A 20783-nucleotide genomic window follows, 5' to 3' on the forward strand; every position below is an offset into this window, starting at 1 on the left:
ATAGTTTCAATACGACAGGAAGCTCCGGAAAAAAAAAAAAAAAAAAAAACAACAACCAAAAACACACCCCCCAACTCCTGCAAAAACATACATGTATTTATTTGATATTTGGCTGTGCAGGTTAAAAAGTTATTTATTTATTTATTTGCTTTTGGAAAAACTCAAGTCAGCTTGATGAGGTCACTTTTTCCTGCCACTCGTTCCTGTTTGGGGAGTAAAGGGACTTCCATGGTCTGGATGGATAATTGTGATGAGGAGGTTACCGGGATTGCCCTGAGAGAATGGACTGTGAGATTTCGGGGATGGAAGCTGCGTCTTCATCTCTATAATCCCTTGTTTGGCACAGCGTCAGCCTGAGGAGATGCTTGGTGGCAAATATGAATTATGGCACACACTGTTAATTTCTTACCCAGGAGCAGTTCCTTTGCTTGCTAACAGAAAATCCTGATTTTGCCCGGAGAAACAAAATGTCCAGTGTCAGGTGATGACTCATGGTTGGTTTAAGCCAGGCTGGGGCCTTTTGTTCCTTTTTGCCTGATATTTGAAAGAGTTTACAGTAGGGACTGTCCTGTGGTCCACTTTTGGATAATGAGACATAAGGAGAAGTCTGCTGTGTCCTACTAAGAAGATTTTCTTCACTGGTTAAAGATGAGAGACACATCAAGAAAAGCCCCCTTGACATAGCTTCCTCCATCTTGCTCCTGGAGTCTGAACTTGGTCATGATGGCTGGAGCTATAACAGCCATCCTGTGACCATGAGTCTCCAAGGGTATAAAGCAGTAATATTCAGGAAGGTGGAGCCTTTGGACAAAAAGATAAAAGGAATCTGGGGCCTCAGCTACATCACTGAGCCTTTCCAAGCCCTTGCCTTCTTCCTCTTAAATCCTGTTATGTTAGATAACTAAATGTCTTTATTGCAAAAGCCACAAGTAGTCAGGCTTTCTGTTATTCACAGCTGAAAGCATTTCCCTTATTTTCAAATAATTTCAGACTTATAGAAGAATTAATTGTAAGGCAAAGAACTTTCATGCCCTTCACCCACATTCACCAATTGTTATTTGCCACATTTACTTTCTCCATCTATAGAGTCTATTCTACTCTATTATCTTTCCCTGAACCATTTGAAATTCAGTTGCAGGCATCCTTCTCCTCTCCCTTAAACATTTCAGAACATATTCCCTTAGAACAAGAAGAGTCTAGTGCTGAAGTTCAGGGAATTTGAGGTTGATGCCATACAATCACCTAGTCCTTGATAATTGTCTAATATACAGTTCACTTAAAATTTTGCCAACAGTCTCAATAATGCCCTTTAAGGCATGTTTCCCCTGATCCAGCTGTCATAACTTTTTAGTCTACTTTAATCTGGAACAGTTCCTCTACCTCTTTTTGTCTATCATGGAGTTGACACCAATGAATAGTTCAGGTCAGTCCTTGAAGGTCCCTCCATCTGTGTTTGTCCGATGTTTCCTCCGGGGACTGGAATGCTACAGAAGCGATGCTGTGTTCTCAGTGTATCACATCAAGAGACACTTGGCACCTATTTGTCCTATTCCTGGTGATGTTAACTTTGTTCAGCTCATTAAGGGAGGACCTGCTGGGTTTCTCTACTGTTAAGTTACCACTTTTTCTCTTTGCAATTAATAAACCATATGAGTGGAAGTGCTATGAGACAATGAAAATATACTTTACCTTTTTAAATTTTCACTCAGTGATGATTCTTCCTTGAATAAACTATTATGATCATGCAAATGGAGTTTTCTATTATTCCCTTTGTATTTATTCACTGGCATTCTACTGTAAGAAAGTCTTCTTCCTTCTTCCCTCCCTCCCTCCCTCTCTTCTTTCTTTTCTTCCTTCCCTTTTCTTTCTTTCTATAGCTATAGGTTCTCATTTTATTCAATAGACTATAATCTACCATTATCATTATTAATTTGGATGCTCACATCATCCCAGATTTGGCCAATGGAAGCCCCTTCAAGTTGATTGATGTGTCCTTTGACATGTCCCTGCCATTTTTTAAATGCTTCCTTGCTTTCTGGAACCACACAGCACTCTGGGCTCACCTTGTACTTCCCTCCCCCAGCGTTAGCATCAGCCACTTCTCCAAGGAGCTCTGAGTCCTTTTAGTGAAGGGTGGTGTTTATAAACCACAATCTGGATGGTTTGTGGATATTGCAAAGCATTCAGTCAGAAGCCATGGGAAATGGAGCAACATTTATTGAAACTTATATTAGTCAAGCAACTTAATGCTAGGCTAAGCTGCAGTGAGTAATAATCCCTAACCTCAGTGACAGTGCAGAAAAAGAAGGGTTTCATATCTGGAGTGTGATGCAGGTCAATGGGAGTTTCCTTCACCTGGTGACTCAGGTATCCAGGCACATTCATTTCTGCAGGTCTGCCTTCTTGACATGAGGTCACTGCAGAAGGAGAGAGGGTGTAGAGTCATGCCAGTTCTTAGGTGCTCCTGACAAGGAGATCTGCAGCACTCTGCTCACATTCCTGTTTTCCAGAACTCAGCCAGTACCCAACACAACTGCCAAAGAGTCTGGGAAGCATAGAGAGTGCACAGATAGCTGGAGATCCCTCATCACTATTGTCATGATATGTTCATCTATGCAACACATATCAATGGGTTCATCCCAGTCAGGCTGACTCCAAGAGGCTAAGATGACTTCACCTTGAGTGGTTTGCAGCTGGGAAAGAAAGGTAAGTCAGCACCGAGCGAACAGATCATTCACTTCAGTGGGCTGTTGAGCTGTGCTAGAGGCAGGTGCAGCGTGCTGCAGAAATACAGAGGGTGGCTACTACCCTGGAGTCTTGAGGAGATCCTGGTGTGCATTGGTGTGGGGTTTGAAATGTGAGTGGGCACTCACCCCCTTCAAGAAGAAGTGGGAAGGACATTTCAGACAGGGGCAAGTGCAAAGGCACAGGGCCTGAAAGAACTAGGCTGGGAGAAGAGGACAGCGTTGGAATGGGTGGAAGAGGGGTCTGCTGGGGAAAGCTGGGGAAGCAAGAGATGAGGCTGGACAAGCAGATTGTGAAGGGCCACACTGAGGAGCTGGGAATTAGTGCATTAATTTTTATTAATTGGATTAATGATTAATAATGTGGGTTGCAGGGAATCATAGGGAGTATGAAGAACACTGTGGTTGTGTTTTAGGAGGATTGCCTTGGTGGTAGAATGTTGGATGGAGGAGATAGGAGTGGGGGTGAAGACATCAGCACTGAGAGACCTGCCCAACAGCTCTGGCAGCCATGCAAGCAAAAAGCATCAAGGACCTGAATTAGGAGGTGGCACTGGGGATGGATAGAAGGGGTTGGCTGGTGGAGCCATTTTGAGATAATGAATCAATGATAGCTTCCATCTATTGTGGATTGTCAAGATGTATTATTGGCTCACAATCCTTCCTGGCCTTTCCACATTCCTGCGACTTCCCTGTGGACAGGACAGAGCAGATTTCTTACTGTGCACATGACCAGCTTTGGCTAGAGATGCATGAGCAGAGTTAGTGCACACCTGGTCTGACCGGAGGCTCTAACAGAATGTGGTGTTGGGTGGCCGCATTGACCCCACCCCTGCACAATGAGAAGAGCAAGCTCCAGGGAACCACCGGCCTCTGAATGAGACACACAGAAGCAAACAGAGCCTGGCCCCCAGTCTGAGGCAAGGCTTCCCAGCTGACTGCAAATTATTAACAAGAAATAAACACTTGTTTTAAGCTGCTGAGACCCTGGGGCTGTGTGTTATGTAGCATTGCTGTAAAAAAAACTTGACCAATACAGGGACTTGCACTTTTGTAAGTACAGCATCTCATTTACCCATGATATCTCTTCATAGTAAGCATTAGGGATGCCATTTTATTTTTTTTTTTATTTTTTTTTTATTATACTCTAAGTTTTAGGGTACATGTGCACATTGTGCAGGTTAGTTACATATGTATACATGTGCCATGCTGGTGCGCTGCACCCACTAATGGATGCCATTTTAAAGATGAGGCAACTGAGGCTTAGAGAGGTTACGTCACTTGCTTAAGGTTCCAGAGCTGGTAAGTCAGAGAAGGATATGAACCCAGGACTGTCTCGTAAGCCCATCCTTCTGCCTCTGTCTACAGAGTGCTGCCTTTCAAAGGTGGCAAGCTCCTGAGTTAGCCATTTTAACCTGCCAGAAACCTCCTTGCTCCTGAACTGGGAAGAGGGACTGAGCTTTGGATTTCAAGAGGAGGCTCTAGGGCCACCATCAGGGGTCCTGTGGTTGAGGTGATGTGGCTGGCTCATCACCTGGGCCTTTCCACCTGCCCCTCCCCATCCCCTCCCCTCTACCCTATTCCCTGCCCTGTGCCAAGCTGAGCACATTGGCAGGGCTGGTGGCTGGGAGCTCAGCTTGTATCCTGTAGCTACAGAACAGAGCTTTCATTGCTGTAATACAGAGTTGAGTCTTTTGATATCAGCAGTGGGTGCAGCAAAACCCCACCGATTTTCTTATCAAGTTTTCCATTTGTGTCAGTGAAGCAAATCCAATTTAAAATACATCTTCAGAAGAAGGAGGGTCAATGAGTTCAAATAGAAGAATATTTGCTAACTGGATTAGGAAAACTCGCTTTGTGCTAAAATGTTTGAGGAAAATCCTCTTAGCACAATTTTGCAGGAGCCAGGCATGTGAAAGGATCGTTTCCTCACTATCATCCCCTGAGATCAGGGCTCTGGCTGGATGAAATGAGGCAGGAGTTTATTAGCTGCTTAGTTGATTAGAGCCTGTGCTGATGAGGCTGAGCTCTGACAAGTCAACGTCAGAGAGAGATCTTGGTTTCCAGTAGCTTTTAATTCTGCTCAACTCTTTGTGGGAAAGAGCCTGGGTAAGAGAGGACACCCACTACTTACTCAAAACCACCATCCCCACCAGACAAGCAGCTCATGGAGCCCTTCCAGGGAAAGACTGAAGGCTGTGGAGACCTAGCTGCACATTATATTATATTTTGCATCATAAGGTCTTATTGATACACAGAACACTCTCAGTTTCAAAAAATGATGAGAAACTCAGTCTTTTTTTTTTTTTTTTTAAGATAGTCTTGCTCTGTCTCATCTCCCAGGCTGGAGTGCAGTGGTGCGATCTCGCCTCACTGGAATCTCTGCCTCCTGGTTCAAGCGATTCTTCTCCCTCAGCCTCCTGAGTAGCTGGGATTACAGGTGTCTGCCACCTCACCCAGCTAATTTTTGTATTTTTAGTAGAGATGGGGTTTTGCCATGTTGGTCAGGCTGGTCTTGAGCTCCTGACCTCAGGTGATCTACCCACCTCGGCCCCTAAAGTGCTGGGATTAAAGGCGTGAGCCACCACATCTGGCCAAAAAATGATGAGAAACTCAGTGTTTTGGAAAGCAGGGAGAATGTTTAGTGTTCTAAAAATGTATCCTTTCACACGTAAAGCTTCCTGCCTCTGAGCCTTTGCCCGTGATGTTCCCTCTGTTAGGGTCGTGCTTCCACCCTGCATGCTGGTGAATTCCACTTTGCCCTCCAGCCCAAATGTCATATTTTCTGGACAGCCATTTGCCATGCTGCCCACCAAACAGGCTGTCCCTTGTTCTCATGCCACTGCTGAACATTGTTTATTCCTTGTGCTAGGCAGGGCTTTGTCAGTTGTAACAACTGAAACTCCACTTAGACATGTTTCAGCTAAAGGGTAACTTATTGACTTTTGTAACTGCAAAGACCATGGTATGCCTGAATTTTGAGGTCCAAAGAAATCATTTTCTCTCTCTCTCTCCTCTTCCTCTCCTCCTTCTCATTTTCCTTCTCTTTTTCTTTCCTCTCCTTCCCTCCGTTCTTCTTTTTCCTTCTTTTTCTCTATCTTCCTCTCTCCCTACTTCTTTCTCTTTCTCTCCCTTTAATTTGCTCTATTCTCTATATGGGCCTCATTCCTTCTGCAAATAAGGAAAATGACCACCTGGAAACCCAAGGCCCACCACATACCAGCAGAGCCACCCAGCCAAAAGAAACCCAGCTTCTCTCTCCAGCATCTACACATCAATCCAGGCCAGAACTCCATCTGACCCTTGTGAGACATGCTTGCACACCTCGGTGGACCACTGAGGCCAGAGAATTCAGCATAATGACGGGCACTTCTGGGGTCATGGGCCTTCCCTGTAGCTAAGGTGACAGAAGGACAGACTGGTCTGGAATGTCCATGCCAGCTGGCTCACATGGCCAGCCATTGATGCTGGTTGTTTCTGGGAGCTCAGTTGTGCTCTAGACCAGAAAACCTCCATGTGACCTCTCCACATGACCCTCACTTCTCACAGCATGGTGGCTGGGGCCCAACGGGGAGACTCTCATGAGCAAAGTTTCCAAAAGACCAAAGTGGCAGCTGCGAGCCTCCTCATGGCTGAGCCTCAGCCCCCATGCAGCATCAGAGCCACTGCAGTCTTGGCTTCCCAGGAGACCAGCCCAGAAGCAGCAAGAAAGGGGACCTGGAAACCAGGAGGTCTGCTTCCAGGGAAGGCCCTCTGATATAATTTGGATATTTATCTCCACCCAGATTTCATGTTAAATTGCAATCTCCAGTGCTGGAGTTGGGGCCTGGTGGGAGTTGTTTTGACCATGGGGGTAGATCCCCCATGGCTTGGTGCTGTCTTCGAGATAGTGAGTTCTTGTGAGATCTGGTTATTTAAAAGTGTGTGGCATGTCCCTCCCCACACCCACCGACTCTCTCTTGCTTGTTCCTGTTTTGGCCACGTGATGTGCCTGCTCATGATTGTAAGCTTCCTGAGGCCTCCTTAGAAGCCAAGCAGATGCCAGCACCATGCTTCTTGTAAAGCCCGCAAAACCATGAGACAATTCAAACTCTTTTCTTTATAAATTACCTTGTCTCAGATATTTCTTTATAGCAATGCAAGGATGGCCTAATACACCATCTTTGGAGACTAGCTAGCACATGGGCCTTCTCCATCTGTAGCTACACTTCTAGAACACACGTGGCTTCCAAGGCTACTGCAGCAGCCGGGGGAAGAGCTCAGGGTCCTGTGGGATGTTCCTAAGGCTCAGATCTGTGGTTCACATCACTTCCGCTCACATTCTATTGGCCATAATCTCGCTCCCTAGCCTCCACTTGACAGCAAGGGAACCCGAGGGAAGGGATCTGCTGGGGGCCATCTCTGCCACAAACAGCAAGTGAAAGCAAGTAGACAGGAAGCCAAGACTGATGCCCAAGTCAGAGAGGTGCTGAGGAAAGAAGTCTTTCTTTCTTTTTTTTTTTTTTTGACAGAGTTCTGAATGTTTCAGAGTAGTCCAAGTACACCCAAAAGCACAATAATTAAATGAGGGGCAGGAGAGTGGCTTAGAAGAAGATTGTTTTTCTGGATTCAGCTCCAACAAAGTTTGTTCCGCAGGTCTTGGTGCTGTGCGATCATCCTTCTCGCCACTGATATTCAGCCTGGATACCCCACTGTTGCTCTAACAGGGAGGAAAATATTTTCCTGCCACTGCCCTGAGCCTCCTGACTGACCCCAGCTACCTTGGACATCCCAGCTTTTGGGACTACCCCAGACCTCCCTATAACCAGCAATCAGAGGCCGGCACAGCAAGAGTGCTTTGAAATGCTGCCTGGTGCTCCAGGGTGACAGGCAGCACCTGCTGTCATTGGTTGGTGTCTGTGCAGTATTTGCTAGAGTTTTGTGGATCTCAGCCTTGAAACCTGTGTCTTTGTACAGTCAAAGGGTCTGAGTTGGGAGAAGGCACCTAGATATGCTCCACCATAGCGTTCTGGTGTTTCCTGTCATCCCTGAAGCCTCCGAGTTCTTATAACAGGGGCTTAAAGACTGTAGCATTGAGATATGAAGGCTCGTAGTTATTGTCCAGTTCAGAGGACATTAATTCCAGGTATCTGGAACTTAGAACAAATCCTCATGCCCTCACCATGGCAACAGGGCTCACCTCCTCTGTCTCATACCTCTCCCTCCCGTGGCCACTATTGCTACAGATATCCTGACCCTTTTACCTCTTTATCAAATAAGCTCACTCTGCCCCAGGGCCTTTACATGGGCTTACTTTCCTCCAAGATGACAACTCATCCTGAAGCAGCTTTTCCCTTCAATCCAGCTACTCCCTCTTTTGTTATTCTGTTTGATTTTATTTATAGCATTTAGCACTGTATGACATTGTTTATTTTGAAATTGTTTATTTCTCTCTCCTCAATAATATAAGCCCAAGAAAGATAAGGAATATGTTTTTAATTCTGTTTCTGTCCCCGGGCCCTAGAATAGGGTCTGGGAGATGGTTGCAGCAGAATCCCTAGCTGAAATGGCAATCTTGTGCTAATTAGAAAAAAAGAGCTCCCTTGCCCCCGTCTCTGTTTCTTTTTTTTTTTTTTTTAGATGGAATCTCCCTCTGTTACCGAGGCTGGAGTGCAGTGGTGTGATCTTGAAGAGAGCCCTTTCTTGATATACTTTATCATCTTCTGCTAGAAGTTTTTCTATACTCATTATAAAAACCCACCCTATCTGTCACTTACACACCATGTATTGTCTTGCTTCCACCCCATCAAAAATGCTTGTGGAATGAATGGATTGGTGAAAGTCAGGGGGACTGGAACATCTGAAAACAAATGTCAGTGTGTGGCCAGCGTCTGTGCACCTTTCTTGGTTGATTGAAACTTCTGTGCATTGATTTCATGGTGTTGGGCACAGAATCCCCTTTTTGCTCATTACCAACAAAGATTTGTCAAGCACCCACTCACTGTGTTCGCTTGGGGAATTCAGACATGAACAAGACACAATTTCTTGATTTAAGAGGCTGAGATTCTAGAGGGCCAGGCGGTGATGTGAAAGATGGTGTAGTCCAGGGTCATAACGGCTGCACTAGGAGCCAGCCCAGGGCTCTCCTGGAACACAGGACACCTGTTCAGTGCAGAGGACTCAGTAAGTCTTTCTGGAGAACTGATTGAGCTGGCTTTGCAGGATGGAGAGGTTCAAACATTGCTAAGTGCTTTGTACAACTTATAAAAATCCATGTTGCCCAGTCTCCAAGCAGTCTCATGTTCAGTAGACAAAAGGCAATTTTCAAACTGAAATGTTTTACTTGCATTTCTACTTCTATTTTCTTTCTTTCTTTCTTTCCTTCCTTCCTTCCTTCCTTCCTTCCTTCCTTCCTTCCTTCCTTCCTTCCTTCTTTCCTTCTCCCCGCCTCCCCCGAGTCTTGCTCTGTTGTCCAGCAGACTGGAGTGCAGTGGTGCGATCTCGGCTCACTGCAACCTCCAACTCCTGGGTTTGAGTAATTCTCCTGCCTCAGCCACCTCTCTCTCTTTCTGTAGCTGGGGTTACAGACACATCCCACCACGCCTGGCTAATTTTTGCATTTTTAGTAGAGACGGGGTTTCACCATGTTGGCCAGGCTCTTCTTGAACTCCTGACTTCAAGTGATCCACCTGCTTCAGCCTCCCAAAGTACTGGGATTACAGGTGTGGGCCACCGCACCCGGCCCTTTACTTGCATTTCTTAAGTTGTGTGAAGTCAGCAGGGATTGTTCTCTAGAATTCCCTTTTACTCTCCTATCCATATTCCCCCAGATCGTAGTTCCCTCACCTCTTTCACACAATCTTCCCTGCAAAACTCCACCCACAGCTTTCAATACCTCTCCCCACTTCTCTGCTCTTTATTGGGAAGACAAGCACAGTTTCTTCCTTTTGGGACCATTCCTCCCTCCTCCGGCTTTTCAGGTCTAATAATGTATCCATTCTCTATCACAAAAGCCAAGCTAGAATCCTCTTTGGAGCACCGCCCAGGTCAAGAAACTGCACAGATAGAGCAGAGGGAGAAAGGAGGTTCAGAACACTCATGCATTAATTGTTTTGGTCTCATCACAGTTTCTTTTTTTTTCTTTCTTTCTTTTCTTCTTTTTGTAATGGAGTCTCACTCTGTCACCCAGGCTGGAGTGCAGTGGTGCGATCTTGGCTCACTGCAACCTCTGCCTCCCGCACACCACCATGCCTAGGTAAGTTTTGTATTTTTAGTAGAGACGGGGTTTCACCATGTTGGTCAGGATGGTCTCGATCTCCTGACTTCATGATCTACTTGCCTCACCCTCCCACAGTGCTGGGATTACAGGCATGAGCCACCACACCTGGCTGGTCTCATCACACTTTCTAAACGACTATTATTAACTCACTTCCCAGATGAGAGAACTGAAGCTCAGAGAGATCAAGCGACCTGCCCAATATACCAAAGCTAGTAAGTGCCTATTCTTCCTGCCTGCCATACTTCCCTTCCCTCTGTCTTCCCCTTTGCCTACTTAACTGTGATTCAACCCAAAGAGAAATTTCCCCAGAAAGCCTTCCCTAAACATCTTGCCTTGGCCAACCTCCCCAACTGCTGTACACTTAGATAAGGCTGTGAACTTTCCCTTCACAGCCCTTGTCACATTTGTAATTGTGTATTTCTTTGGATTATTCCTGGGTTAAAGTCTATCTAGACTTTAAACTTTTTTTTTTTTTTTTGAGACGGAGTCTGGCTCTGTCACCCAGGCTGGAGTGTGGTGGTGTGATCTCGGCTCACTGCAAGCTCCGCCTCCTGGGTTCACGCCATTCTCCTGCCTCAGCCTCCCAAGTAGCTGGGACTACAGGCGCCCGCCACCATGCTCAGCTAATTTTTTGTATTTTTAGTAGAGAGGGAGTTTCACCATGTTAGCCAGGATGGTCTCAATCTCCTGACCTCACGATCCACCCACCTCGGCCTCCCAAAGTGCTGGGATTACAGGCGTGAGCCACCGTGCACAGCCTAGACTTCAAGCTTTTAGAATAGCATCTCTCTCTCTCTCTCTCTCTCTCTCTCTCCCTCCCATTGTATAACCAGTGGGTAAAACAACATATGGGACATGTCAGTACTTGTTAAATATTTGCTGAATAAAAGAATGAATGACTGGAATTCAAACCCATGTCTCCAAAATCCAAGCTCTTGTCTGACATCATGACTTGGTGTTCTCCAGGAGAAGAAGATAGGGGAAGGTCATTCCAGGTTGAGGAAATACCACATGACCGTTTACAATGGGTGTTCTTTTTTGGTGGCGGTGGTGGTGGCGGCAGCTTGAATCCAGGCTGTATTCGGAGTAGTGAAAGGAGAAGAAGCAGGAGCTGTGGACAAAGACAAGGGCAATATGAGGAAAAGACCTTGCATGCCTGGCCAGGAACAGGGGCCACAGGGAGCTGATCATGAAACACACTGACGGTGTTTCATCAGGGGAGTGACATGAACATAGTCACATTCAGGAAAGATCACTGCCTGCTGGGAAGACAGAGGGTCAGGGCAGAGACTGGAGGCCAGGAAAGTGCCACCATCAAACAGGATGGAGGAGGCACAATTCTGGACAGGGATGTCCATGGCCAGAGGAGTGGTCCAGCTCCCAGAAGATGAGGAGAGACCAGAGGTGAGGATGGCCCTTCAGTTTCAGGTTTAGGCACCTGGACAGATGGTCTTGCCCTCTCCAGCGGCAAAAAGCACTGAGGGGGAAGGAGGTTGGGGGAAGGGACTGTGTAGGCTGAGCAGCTTAAGTCTGAGAAGGTGGGCCACTTGCAGATGTTGGTCCAGGGTACAGGTGCGTTTGGTGGAGGGGGAGACTAGGAAGGGAGGAGAAAGTCCAGTCTGTTTCTAGACCTCACCATGCTGCAGGTGTCTGGGCCAGCAGGTCGCAGCCGGAGCTATGCAGCTGGCTGCTGTCACATCCCTTTCTCTCCCAGCTGCCTTCAGCTGAGCTTAACGCCAGTAGAGGCCGAAACACTTCACAAATGCAACTTGTCAGCTGGGAGGTGCACTCAGAGCTCAGGAACACTGTTTTCCCTCTTTATTGTTTTCCATCATTCTTTTTTTTCAGTTTGGGTTTTGGGCCCCGTCAGTTCCTTTTCTGTTAAACACTGAGCTATTTATCCATCCCTCTCAAGGTTGAAAAAGAGAAAGGCTGTAAAAGTGCCCTGCAAAGAAGAGGCCTCCAACTCTATGGGGGTGGGGGGCTCTCTTCCTCCTCTTGTCTTCTGAGTTCATTCCGAATTATTCCCCAAAGGAAAAATCGTTCAAGGACTGGGGGCGGTGGTGGGGAAAAGGACAATCTCCCAAGAGGTCAGCTGAAGCCCCAGCCTCAGGGTGTTGAGAGAGGGGCTGGGGGAAGCGGGAGCCTGTTCCTAGGAGACACTGTCTACTGGACACCTCATCCTAGACGGCTTCCATGAGTTCTGACACTGTCCCAGGAGTAGGAATCATTATCCCACGCTGTGGAGAAGGAAACCAAGGCCGGGTAAAGTTATGTAGGGCCCTTAAAGTCGCAGAGCCAGGAATAAAGTCCGGATTGGGACTCGGGTCTGTGGGTAATCCAAGGCTGCCCCGCTTACCCTTCAAATGCTCTTTCCCCCTCCGGAAGCCCTCGCGTCCTCATCCTTACCCCACCTCTTGTTCCCCAAGCGTGGCCAGGGCTAAGGCTCCAGGGATGCGCCAAGCACCCTTCGGTTTTCCCGGGGAGAATTTTCCCCGGCCCGGGGACTAGGGTCTGGCGCTGGGGCGCCCCTCGGACCTGCGGGATCGCCCCTACACTCTGGCGCGCTGAGGGCGGTGAGCGAGGGCGCCAAGGCACAGGTGGGGCGGGAGTCGAGCGCGGAGGCTCGGGGGGCGGGACGCGGGGCCTGGGAGCGGCCAGGGACCGCGGCAGCGCCTCAGTGCCAGCCTGGCGCCCGCGACTGCCTGCCCCAGCCCCTCAGTGGCGGCTTGCTCTCTTCTCTCGCTCCGAACCAGACACAGCCGCTGCCGCTGCCGTCCGGCGCGCTACAGACTCCCGAGAACAGCCCTGGCTGTCAGCGAGCACCAGCCGCTTCCTGTCCCCATCGCGGAGACTGGAGGGGCGCACCACGGCCATGGAGCCAGAGGCGCTTCAGGAGGCAAGAGAAGTCCCCGCGCGCTCCGCAGCCCGGCGCAGCTCATGGTGAGCGCCCTCTGGGGCTCGAGGGTCCCTTGGCTGAGGGGGCGCATCCTCGGGGTGCCCGATGGGGCTGCCTGGGGGTCGCAGGGCTGAAGTTGGGACCGCGCACAGACCGCCCCTGCAGTCCAGCCCGAAATGCTGCCGCCAGGCAGCAACGGCACCGCGTACCCGGGGCAGTTCGCTCTATACCAGCAGCTGGCGCAGGGGAACGCCGTGGGGGGCTCGGCGGGGGCACCGCCACTGGGGCCCTCACAGGTGGTCACCGCCTGCCTGCTGACCCTACTCATCATCTGGACCCTGCTGGGCAACGTGCTGGTGTGCGCAGCCATCGTGCGGAGCCGCCACCTGCGCGCCAACATGACCAACGTCTTCATCGTGTCTCTGGCCGTGTCAGACCTTTTCGTGGCGCTGCTGGTCATGCCCTGGAAGGCAGTCGCCGAGGTGGCCGGTTACTGGCCCTTTGGAGCGTTCTGCGACGTCTGGGTGGCCTTCGACATCATGTGCTCCACTGCCTCCATCCTGAACCTGTGCGTCATCAGCGTGGACCGCTACTGGGCCATCTCCAGGCCCTTCCGCTACAAGCGCAAGATGACTCAGCGCATGGCCTTGGTCATGGTCGGCCTGGCATGGACCTTGTCCATCCTCATCTCCTTCATTCCGGTCCAGCTCAACTGGCACAGGGACCAGGCGGCCTCTTGGGGCGGGCTGGACCTGCCAAACAACCTGGCCAACTGGACGCCCTGGGAGGAGGACTTTTGGGAGCCCGACGTGAATGCAGAGAACTGTGACTCCAGCCTGAATCGAACCTACGCCATCTCTTCCTCGCTCATCAGCTTCTACATCCCCGTTGCCATCATGATCGTGACCTACACGCGCATCTACCGCATCGCCCAGGTGCAGATCCGCAGGATTTCCTCCCTGGAGAGGGCCGCAGAGCACGCGCAGAGCTGCCGGAGCAGCGCAGCCTGCGCGCCCGACACCAGCCTGCGCGCTTCCATCAAGAAGGAGACCAAGGTTCTCAAGACCCTGTCGGTGATCATGGGGGTCTTCGTGTGTTGCTGGCTGCCCTTCTTCATCCTTAACTGCATGGTCCCTTTCTGCAGTGGACACCCCGAAGGCCCTCCGGCCGGCTTCCCCTGCGTCAGTGAGACCACCTTCGACGTCTTCGTCTGGTTCGGCTGGGCTAACTCCTCACTCAACCCCGTCATCTATGCCTTCAACGCCGACTTTCAGAAGGTGTTTGCCCAGCTGCTGGGGTGCAGCCACTTCTGCTCCCGCACGCCGGTGGAGACGGTGAACATCAGCAATGAGCTCATCTCCTACAACCAAGACATCGTCTTCCACAAGGAAATCGCAGCTGCCTACATCCACATGATGCCCAACGCCGTTACCCCCGGCAACCGGGAGGTGGACAACGACGAGGAGGAGGGTCCTTTCGATCGCATGTTCCAGATCTATCAGACGTCCCCAGATGGTGACCCTGTTGCTGAGTCTGTCTGGGAGCTGGACTGCGAGGGGGAGATTTCTTTAGACAAAATAACACCTTTCACCCCGAATGGATTCCATTAAACTGCATTAAGAAACCCCCTCATGGATCTGCATAACCGCACAGACATTGACAAGCACGCACACACACGCAAATACATGCCTTTCCAGTGCTGCTCCCTTTATCATGTGTTTCTGTGTAGTAGCTCGTGTGCTTAGAAACCTCACCCCATTGATTGGTAGTTCGAAGAATTGGCAGAAGCAGTTGCAATAAACTCAGTCAAATGTACCCAGCCTACCAGAGATGGACCAACGATCCTATGAGAGAAGAGAGTATGGTGCTGGGTCCTTAAAAAAAAAAATGATACTTGGTCCTTAAAAAATATGCTCTCCCCTCCCTTTTTAAACAAATGGCTTGTTCAGTCACTTGTTTGTGTTTGAATTGATTTTTAAACAGCAGGTTGTGTGTGTGTGCAGTGATGTGGTGGGAGCACAGCTTTCCTGGGTCTGGATTCCCGTGGCTTTGTGCTTATGTCATTTCTTCTCTCTGTGCTGGTGGGGGCCTCTTTACCATAGCTTAAGAAGTATCCCTGATTTATTCTGGTGTCTAATAAACACAGATTATTTGTATTATGGGGTGACTATCTTTGCTTTGCTACATTGGGTTTCAGGATTGCTTCTGAAGAAACGATGAGTGCATCCTTAAAATGCAAAGAAGATATTTGCTGGGTCTGGAAGTACATGCTTAATCTCTTTACAGTTTGGCCTTAAAGATACACCAGGGCAAAGGACCTTGAGGAGCTTCTGTTTTCTCAGGTTTCTTTTTATTACTTATACCCATGTTGGGTCTGTGCTGAAACCTGGCTTCAATGGCATGGCATTAGATCTTCTCAAGACCAGATGTTTTTTTTCTCATATGGAATCTTTTTTGAAGTAACATAAGACAACTCTCCTTATTCCTAGACAGATGCGATCAGTTCATTGAAAAGATCATGTAGAATAATATCTTGAATCTTTCTCCATCTGACAACTGTAGCATGTTTTAGAATGACATGGCTTTTGAGAAATCGTGTTTTCTGAAGAGCTTTGAAATGTGTGAATCAAGATGCTTTAAAAAAGAAACTCTATTTTTAAATAGGCATTTTCCTTAGTGGACAATAGCAAATAGGGAAATGCTTTTTAAGTAAAATGTAGAAGCCAGAGATGAAATGTGAATGAACTTGAAATTGGAAAATCTGTAGGTCGAGGTGCTCAATAGAAAAGCCCGGCTGACTCCAATCATTTTGTTTTTCCTCTCTGCAGTGTGCACAGCCAAGGGGAGTGTTTTATTCCAGACCCACACCAGTTGAGAGCATATTATTACCATCAGATCTAAATGTGAGCACTATTAATGGAAGCAAATGAAATGTGAATATGCAATTTCTTGCAAGTCCCTGCTTTGAAGCCGTTTTATCAAGGACAGTTCAATCAATTTTGATCTCTTTAAGGCTAATTTTATTGTCAGTCTTCTGTGCAGCCATATCTTGATCACTGCAAAATGTGCAGTTCCTGGCACATAGTGCTTAATAAATATTTGTTGAATGAATGACTATTTCTGGAACAGTGAGATTGAAAGCAAATCCTATTCAGTACATCAATTTTTATATATAATTTAGTCAAAATGATACTGGAATCTGAGGTCCGTGTTCAGTTTCTGACCTCCTGTGAATGGATAGCTAAGCGAACCATTAGGCAACATTAGGGGCAGTGAAAAGCACCCAGCTCTAGGATTCAGGAGATCGTCGCATGACCTTGAGTGAGTCAATTAACCTTTCTGGGCCTCATTTTCTGTCTGTGTCTGTAAATGGAAAGACTTCAACTAGATCACTGTTTACCCAATTGTGCTTTGTGATGCATATGTTAATGGATGGGGTCTCTGGTGAAATAAGTTCAGCAAACCCAGGTTCAACACCTGTTTTCTCGATAGGACTTCTTAGAGCTTCTCCTGTGCATGATGCATCCTCCAGTGGGAGAAGATTCTGTATCATTTCCCAATGCTGTTCACCTCGTGAACCTTGTTTGGTGGAATTCCTGTTACTGTTTCTCTGAAGTCCATAGTCACGACTTGAGAAACTCAAATCTAACTGATCTGGAAGTTTTTACAATATTCTGTTCTAAAGCAAGAGTTGCTATAAGCAAAATCTTTTGTGAAAAACACTGTTCTAGGCTCCAGTTTAAATGAGTTCTGTGTTATGGGAAATGGATTATGTGAGGACTTTGGAATTTCCTTCTGTAAAATATCACTCACCATTCATTATAGTTAGGTACTATGCTCTAGGCATTGTTCTAGATGCTGGGAATGTAGTTGTCAATCAAATTCTCTGCTGTCTTGGAACATTTATGTGAGTCAGGGGAGAGATAAGCCAATAAAGAGATCTGTACTATATTGCACTGCATTGCACTGTGCTGTACTGACCAGGATAGATAACGCCAGGCAGGGGTAATTGCTATGTTGCAAAAAAACCCAGGGTGAGTAGGGTGGTGAAGCTGCTGTTTTATTTATGGTGGTCAGGGGAGGACTTTCCAAAGAGCTGCATGAAGAGAGACCTTGACGAAGTAAGGGTTGGAGGGCTGCTAATGTCTGGGAAGGAGAGTAATTCAGGCGGAGGGAGTGGCAAGTGCAAAGGCTTGGAAATGGGATTGTTCCTGGTGCCCTCGGAGGAGTGTGGCTGGAGGGCTATAAAAGAAGAGCGTCATAGGATTAATGTTAATTGCTGTAGCAGCAATTGCAGCAGGCATGATGGAGACCCAGCCTGAGCTGGGTACACACATGTGTTAATTCATTTGACTCTCGCTGCCCTGTGAGGTAAGCACTTTTATTACCCCATTTTACAGATAAGGAAATGAAGGCATTGGCAGGCTAAATAACCAGCCTGTGGTCACAGAGCTCCTGAGTGGCAGAACTCAACTTGAACCCAGGTAGCCTGGCCGTGGAGTCTTTAATCCTAACTGCTCTTTGATGGTGAGAGAGGATGCCAGAACATCTTCAGTCAGCAAATGCACTAGTGCACAGATCAGGACATTCAGTTTTTTGTTCATTTATTACTGAAATAGTTAATTGATTCATCCCCACAGCTATACAACAGCAGATCTTCATTGTGTACCTGCTCTTTGCACAGCTTTGTGTTTGGAGGGAAGGCACCCTAGGGTTATGGGCAAAGTAGCTCTTACATGATGGACCAAATGCTTTCCTGGATTCTTATTTATTCCTCACATTAACCTCACATGTTATTATTTTTCCATTTTACAGATGAGGACATGGGGGCACAGAGGACCTTGAGGACAAGGTTGTTTGTCCAAGGTCATGGGAAAATTAGTAGAGGAACCAGGGTTCACCCTAGGTCAGTGGTTCTTAAATGAGGGAACTTTGCACCCTGCACCCCCACAGATATTTGGCAATGTCTGGAGACATTTTTGGTTGTCACAACTGGGTGTCAGGTGCTCCTGCCATCTTGCGGGTAGAGGCCAAAGATGTTGCTAAACAACTTCTGGTGCACAGAGAATTATCCAGCCCCAAATACCCATGTTGCAGCACTCGAGAGGACTTGGCCAGGCAGGCAGACTCCAGGTCCCAGCTCCCTGTCCACAAGGCTACCTGCCTGAGATTGGAGGCTCCAGTGCCCTGAGTTTGAAGTTTGGCTCCACCATTTATTAGTCATCTGAATTTGGGCACCTTTCTGAGCTCCAGCTTCTTTATCTGAGCAATGGGCACATGAACCACACAGAGCGTGTATTACACAAAACACATGCCCCAGAACTTGTTCTGATACATGCTGAATCTTCTTTTATAATTACACATCCATACACCATATTCATTGGTTAGAAGTGAGTCATTACGTCCAAATCATATTCAAGGGGAGGTGATCAGACTTTACCTCTTCATGGGAGGAGTGCCAAAGAATTTGCAGAAGAGATGTTTTACATTTTATGCTTTATTTTTAAACACTTGTTCTCACATAGTTTCAGACTTACAGAAACCTTGCAACACGGTACAAAGAATTTCTGAATATTGTTTACCCAGATCCCCCAAACATCAATGTTTCACTGTATCACTTATCTCTGTTCTTCCCTTTTTCTTCTGAGTCATCTAAGATGTGATGCCCATTTACTCTGAATATTTTGTTGCATATTTCCTAAAAACAGGGAATTCTCTCATCTCATCTACAGACTTTATTCAGACTTCATGATAATGTCCTTTATAACAAAACAATCCAAGACCATGTGTTGCATTTAGCTGTCCCCTCTAATTTGAAAGTTTCTGCTGCTTTGTCTTTCATGACACGGACCTTTGTGAAGATTACCTGGCCAGCTACTTGGTAGACTTGTCCTTCAACTTGGGTTTTTTGGTGCTTTTCCATGATTGGATTCTGTCATGTATGTTGGGCAGGAATATCACAGATGCCATGCTGAGCTCCTGTAGCTCATGGCATGAGGGGCAGGTGCTGTTAATTAGTCCCATTACTAGCAATGTTAACTTTGCTCATGAGGTTACGGTGCTGTCCACTGTTTTACTCTTTATAATTAATATGTATTTCCTTTGGAGAAATACTTTGAGACTATGAAGATATCCTATTATTTCTCAAACTTGCATCCATTGGTTTTAGCATTTATTAGTGGCCCTTCCCTGAATCAGTTATTACTGTGGTTGTCAAATAGTGTTTTTAAAAAAAATTCCATAATCTTTCTAAATGTATTGTTGGTTTTCTACTGTAAGGAAGAATATTTGTTTTATATATTTATTTACATCAGCATAGAATCTTGGTTTTTTAGTTTTCTGTTTGTTTGTTTTTGAGACAGGGTCTCACTCTGTTGTCTAGGCTGGGGAGCAGTGGCATGATCACAGATCATTGCAACCTTGACTCCAGGGCCAAAGTGATCCTCTCACCTCAGCCTCCCAAGTAGCTGGGACCAAAGTCATATGCCACCATGCCCAGGTAATTTTTTTTTTTTTTTGTAGAGACGGGGACTCCCTATGTTGCCCAGGCTGGTCTCAAGCTCCTGGGCTCAAACAGACCTCCTGCCTCAGCCTCCCAAAGTCCTGGGATTTACAGGCTTGAGTCACCATGCCCAGCCCGGGTTTCTAGTTTTTATAATAGGTTATAATCTTTTACTTGACCCTGTTAATGGATACTATTTTGACATTCCAGGTATGGGACCTGGGGACACATGTGTCCCATTTCTAAGATATTAACACAATGCTCAGTCTAGGGGCAACACTCAGAACACTGTTTTCTATTGTCTTCTAAGACTGTCCCTGCCCTCAAATCTCTCAGTGAGCTGGGGGTATCCATACTTATCATGATATTTAGGTTGCCCTAGATTTGATTAGTGGGAGCCCTTTAAGTTGATTCTTGTGTCCTTTTGACATGCTGTCATTATTCTTTGAGTAGTTTTTTACTTTTCAACACGAGATATGTCAGACTCATCTTGTATATTCCCTGTCCAAGCCTTGGAATCAGCCATTTTTCCAAGGAGACCAGGGTTCCTTCTAGTAGAAAATGGTACAGAGAAATCAAGATGTGGGCACTAGGGTGTTTATTGTTGCTGGGGTGACATTGTTTCTATATCCTCTTAAAAGAAGAGCTGGGAAATGGATACATGTATATACATGCACACATATTCATATGTGCATATACACATATCAGTGAGCATCTCTATTTCTATGCCTATTTATGTAGATATATCAAATCCCATGCATTCATTTTGATATCTAGCAGAAATATTTTAAAAACCATCACCTCTCGTTCAAATCTTGATTCTCTAATGTTCTAGTTCATGAGACCTGGAAGTCAAAGAGATTAAGTTACCTTCCTAGGTTTTAAAAAATATTAAAAAGGGAATAATTAGTTGCTTACCTTGTAGTTTATTGTCAGGGTTATGTGCTGTGATGCATGTGGAATGTGTAAGGGCATTATACAATGAGAATTTAGAAATGGTCTTCTTGTGACTGTGTCCTTAAGAGCTGAGAGTACAGGGCAGAACCTTCCTGTTTCTATGTAGTGGTTCTGTGCTCCATTTTACAGGCAGTGTGGGAAGCTACTAGGGATCAATAATTCAAGAGTCAATATGCAGTAGATGGATAGAGTGGCTAAAGAGCAGACTAGACTTGCCTACACCTAGAATAGGAAGAAATAGGACAAGATGTCAAGCTTGATAGGAGGAAGTTGTTGATATGAGGGGAGAGTTAAGCGGAGAATGTTGAGCCCATGTGGAAACCCCTGGGCCTCTAGGCCAATTCGGGGGAAGGGCTTAAAGGGAATATGAGTACCCCTACTCACAAGAGCAGGCAGAGCCATCAGACTTTTGCTTTGACACTG

General features: G+C 46.9%; 2 protein-coding genes across 13 annotated transcripts in view; one reads left to right on the forward strand and one right to left on the reverse strand.

Moving 5' to 3' along the window:
- The window catches only part of SLC2A9 (solute carrier family 2 member 9), a 269246-nt gene continuing 250535 nt past the window's right edge, over positions 2073-20783 (reverse strand). For 6 of the 12 annotated variants that reach the window (XM_011513858.2, XM_011513856.4, XM_047415976.1 and 3 more), the window contains 2 exons: positions 10915-11113; positions 2173-2417 (listed from right to left, as the gene is read on the reverse strand). In XM_011513858.2, coding sequence (XP_011512160.1) covers positions 2188-2417; positions 10915-11113 — 429 coding nt within the window. In that variant the 3' untranslated portion in view covers positions 2173-2187. Of the gene's footprint in view, positions 2418-4800; positions 11114-20783 lie in introns of those variants that run through there. The other 6 variants (XM_047415974.1, XM_006713968.5, XM_047415977.1 and 3 more) reach the window with 3 other exon arrangements.
- On the forward strand, positions 12682-15057 carry DRD5 (dopamine receptor D5). Its single transcript, NM_000798.5, has one exon. It carries the CDS (start codon positions 13078-13080, stop codon positions 14509-14511), a length of 1434 nt encoding a protein of 477 aa, NP_000789.1. The 5' UTR covers positions 12682-13077; the 3' UTR covers positions 14512-15057.

This window comes from Homo sapiens, chromosome 4 (genome assembly GCF_000001405.40).
Source record: "Homo sapiens chromosome 4, GRCh38.p14 Primary Assembly".
Taxonomy (NCBI): domain Eukaryota; kingdom Metazoa; phylum Chordata; class Mammalia; order Primates; family Hominidae; genus Homo; species Homo sapiens.

Coding starts and splice junctions, on each gene's coding strand:
- DRD5 (NM_000798.5), top strand. CDS start 13,078: ATGCTGCCGCCAGGCAGCAACGGCACCGCGTACCCGGGGCAGTTCGCT.